At 36.5% G+C, this 4,698-nt stretch overlaps 1 annotated feature.

The window, feature by feature from the left end:
• Window positions 383-1,582: an enhancer, noted in NCBI's record as "CDK7 strongly-dependent group 2 enhancer chr8:35686142-35687341 (GRCh37/hg19 assembly coordinates)". NCBI's record gives its function as "activates an origin of replication core promoter dependent on BRD2, BRD4, P300/CBP, MED14 and CDK7 cofactors, with strong dependence on CDK7, by STARR-seq in HCT116 cells {active_cell/tissue: HCT116}" and the evidence as "EXISTENCE:reporter gene assay evidence [ECO:0000049][PMID:35650434]".

A 4,698-nucleotide genomic window follows, 5' to 3' on the forward strand; every position in this document is an offset into this window, starting at 1 on the left:
TAAAGTGAAGGGTGTGAGGGGTAGAAGAAATTGCCAAAAAAATTGTTTTTAATCTACAATGTCAGGGATGACATAAACTAAAGATATCACTTCTGAAATCCTGAATAAAAAATATTAAAGGTCTGCAATTAAAGCTATACTTTGAAATTTCAGAATTTCAAACTCCTAAAATGGAAGTTACTATATGTTTTCAGAGAAAGGACATCACTGAAGTTCTCTATTCCAAGGAAAATAATTTAGAACCTGGAATTCTATACCTCGCCAAGCTATCACTAAGTTGGGAGGATAGAATAAAAACATTTTCAGACAGGAAATGTCTCAAAATTTTCTTTTCCTAGGAAACTCCTGGAAGATATGCTTATGAAAACGAAAGAGAAAACCAGAAATGGAAAAACGGAATACTAAAAATAAGGATCCAAAACAAATGAGAAGCAAAAGGGATTTCCAGGATTTTAGAGAAAGATAGTTTCAGGATGTTTGGTACACTTCAAACTTAGAAAGCAATGAATCAGAATTGAAGCCAGAAGCCTCTGAGTTCCAGAAACTGTACTTCTGCCAAGAAAATAAAACAGATATAATATCCAACATATTTGAATATATTCAGGGGGTATCATCAAAACTATTAGTGAATCTGGAGACATATTTGTGATTAATATAGAGATAACTAAGCCAAATTAAAATGAGGTAATAAGGGACCTCAGGACTTACTACTGTACTGGAAATAAGATGTGATTGTGTTATACATGGCTCAGCTGTGAATGATTGTTTCAAAATCCTAGTTGTCACACACATCTGTGTGAAGACCCCACCAAACAGGCTTTGTGTGAGTAATAAAGCTTTTTAATCACCTAGGTGCAGGCGGGCTGAGTCAGAAAAAGGAGTCAGCAAAGGGAGTTAGGGGTGGGGCAGTTTTATAGGATTTGGGTAGGTAGTGGAAAATTTCAGTTAAAGGGAGTTGTTCTCTTGCGGGCAGGGACAGGGGTCACAAGGTGCTCGGTGGGGAGCTCTGGATACTTATTGTCCAGGAGAAGGAATGTCACAAGGTAATGTCATCAGTTAAGGCAGGAACCGGCCATTTTCACTTCTTTTGTGGTTCTTCAGTTGCCTCAGGCCATCTGGATGTATATGTGCAGGCTTGGACTCAGAGGCCTGACACTAGTAATATAAACACATAATATTGATCTAACAAAAAATGTGATATAACTATATTGAAAGAAAAGAATAACTATATTGAAAAAATAGTGTATTATGAGTGAATGAGGTTGTGTTATGCATGCATGCATTTGTTTATGTGTGGGTGGTTGGGTGGGTGTATTGTTAAGTATTCAAAAGAATTGAAGTCTTATCCTGTCTAGTAGGCATTCAATGGAAAATATGTAAAGCTAAAAATTTTCAAGGAAAAGTATAACAACAGTATCTACAAATACAGAAGTAAAAATAAAAGAATAGCTAAAAAAGTTGAAAGGCGTTTCCTCAGGGGAAGAAGAATTGGGAGTGAATAGGATGGAGAAGAAAATTGCTATTTTTCAGTATAAGTTTGGAAGTACCATTTAACTTTTTAAAATTTATATTTGTACTTTACTGCAATAAAGAAAGGAAGAAAAAAAGAAAAGGAGTGAATCTACAAGTAGATAATGAGACATATTCATAAAAAGAAAAGGATTTATCTGGCAAGGGCAATTCATAGCACAGGAAAGAATAAGTGCCTAATTGAAGTGGAATGCCCCCACCACCTATTTGTTCACTTAAACTGGAGAATGGAAAAAAGAAACTTCACCAATCATAAATGTTAATACATTTAACAATTCCAACTGAGTGAAGCAAAAACCAGCATGAGGCCAAAGGTTAAGTGCATGATTATCTTTGCTTTGAGTTTTTACATGGTACTCCCACCAAGTTCAATGCCGAGTATGCTGTTACAGATGCAATTAAAATTATAATTCTCCTTAACCTACCTGGTGGGCTTAGGGATTGTTAGATGTATTAAGCCTGATTGAAAAAAACTGTGAGTAGATGCCTTTTTCTGACACATGGAAGATACAATCCAAGTCAGATCAATGATGTGACATTCAGGCTATGGAAGCCGAGACAGGTCAGAGCTGGAATAGCAGTAAGAAAGATAAATTGCCCCAAATCACAAGAAGCTGTAAAGCAGAAACACAAACAACCAAGCCTCTCATCATATATCAAACATTTCTCTGTTCTGAATCTTTAAAAAATGTGTTTCAAATGCCAGAAGGTGAATGTTCAGGACAGCCTGATTAAGAGACAGAAGCTATGCAAAGAATTAGATAATTCAACAAAATCACCTATGTTCTTTGCACTGTGCTAGGTTCTGTATGAAACACAGAGAGAATATAAGATATGGTTTCTGATTTCAAGGAGCATGCAATCTAGTTTTAGAGACACAATTAGCATAGAGGAAACTTAATGGATTTGGACACTCTTATAATGAATAATGGATAACCAAAATTAAAGGAAAACTTGAGGCAGTAGGTTCATCTGAGACCAGGAGGGTTTGAGAGCACCTTGGGCAACATAGCAAGATCCTATGTCTCTAAAAATAAAAAAAAAATTAGAGAGACATGGTGGCATATGCCTGAAGTCCCAGTGACTTGGCAGGCTGAGGTGGGAAGATCACTTATGCCCAGGTGTTTGAGGTTTCAGTGAGCCATGATCATGCCACTGCACTCCAGCCTGGGCAACAGAGCAAGTCCCCATCTTTAAAAACAGAAAGCGCAAACTTGTAAGACACCAAGCTCAGAGCAAAGGAATTAGGAATACAAGGATTTATTCAGAAAGTGGCCTTTAGTGAGGCCCTGAGGAATGGTAGGAATTTGGGCAGGTTACTGGAAGAGCTGTGAACAATTTGACTTTAGACTCTTGAGTTGAAAGCAATCACATTGTATTTGGGCTAGGAGGTGGGAAAGTCAAGGAAGTGGGCAGAATTGAGTATGTCATATTTCTTATCGATTTACTATAGATTCTGGGTGTATTTCCTTTCTTTGAGTTTTTTTTTTTTTATGGGAGGCAGTGTCCATATTAATTACCTAATACCCACCAGCTGTCACATAGTAAAAACTCTGTCAATATTTTCTTACTTGTACATTTATTTTATTGTAAAAGCGAGTTTAAAAAAAAAATCAAAGTCATCTGCCCAGCACAATTATTGCTCTTTGTAAATACACTCTTGAATACACTGTTGAATGGCTCATCTAGTAAAAAGTTGAGGGTCCAAAAAAGAGGAACACATTTGAAAGTGATTGATCATTACTTTTAAACAAAATGGGGGGAAACCAGCCATAAGCTGGGAATTTCTATTCTTCAAGGCCTAGGTATTTTCATTAGCCTGCACTGCCACTTCCTCTATGGCCTTTTGGAAACTATTCTTTAGAAGCTAGATCTTCAAGACAGCGGTAGGTGCCAAAGGGCATTATGGAATTCCCCAAATTCCTACTGCTTACCTTTGGGGATAGCTGGAAGAAATCATGGATATCCACAGAAGTAAATCATGGGTAGTTTTTACCTCAAGTTAATCAAAGAACGTGAATAAACAAAGAAGGATTCATCCTTCCCTTAGCCCATTTCAGTCCACATGTTCTTTGATCTATATGCTGCTGTTTAAACCATCTATCTTAGTTAAAAACAGGTTCCCACTAAAAAAAGACATTAATTTCCACTAATCTGATGCTAATCTATAATGTGGACTCACATTTCTGCCCACTGTCATGCCCACTTTTATAAGATATTTGCAAAGATTAGTCAAGTGACAAACAGAATGGATTCATATAGCTCTCCTATTGGCTAGAAAGAATTAGCACTGAAGAGAGGTATCCACATTCTCTCTTCCTTAATCAACTGGATAAACATATCTTGGATATATGGAGCACTTGCCTAGAATTTGTTGTTGTTCTTTTATTTTGACCTCCTCAAACTGTCTTTCGGGGGTGGACTTTTTCCTGTATCCTTGCCCAGGCAATGTTAGTAATCTAGTCTACACATAACCCTTCAAGGACTATTTAGGTTTACTGACCAGTTTAAGGTATATCCAGGGATATTAAATATTAGTAAGATTCAGGTTAGAACTCCTACTACAAAGGGGAGATTGCAGACAAGCAGTTTCTTTAAATGTGAACCTCCTATTCCTGGAATTCTTATGATTAGATGATTATTGTTTTAATTATTAAATTTTGAGGTACCAAGAAGATGATGAGACAGCATGGAAACAAGGTGTTTCTATAGATGCTAGCAGTGTCTGATCCATAGTAGGCAAAATTCAGCAATACAAACTATCTGAGCAAGATGACCATCAGAGGAAAGTAGCATTAAGCCAAGGAAGATAATTTACTGACAGAATTCCCAAACAGGAAGGATAAAGTAAACAGATCCCCATTTCTACCTTAGTGAAAGCTTAACAGGACTAGACCAGAGCAGGGTAAAGTCAATGTAAATGAAGAAGTATTAGAACTAATACAGACCTACCTCATTTTACTGCACTTCACTTTATTGAATGTCACAGATAATTTTTTTTTTTTTTTTTTTTTTACAAATTGAAGGTTTGTGGCAACCCTGTGTTGAGCAAGTCTATTGATGCCATTTTTTCCAACAGCATGTGCTCACTTCATAACTCTGTGTCCCATTTTGGTAATTTTCACAATATTTCAAATCTTTTCATTATTGTTGTGTCTGTTACAGTGA

Source organism: Homo sapiens, chromosome 8, assembly GCF_000001405.40.
Source record: "Homo sapiens chromosome 8, GRCh38.p14 Primary Assembly".
NCBI lineage: Eukaryota > Metazoa > Chordata > Mammalia > Primates > Hominidae > Homo > Homo sapiens.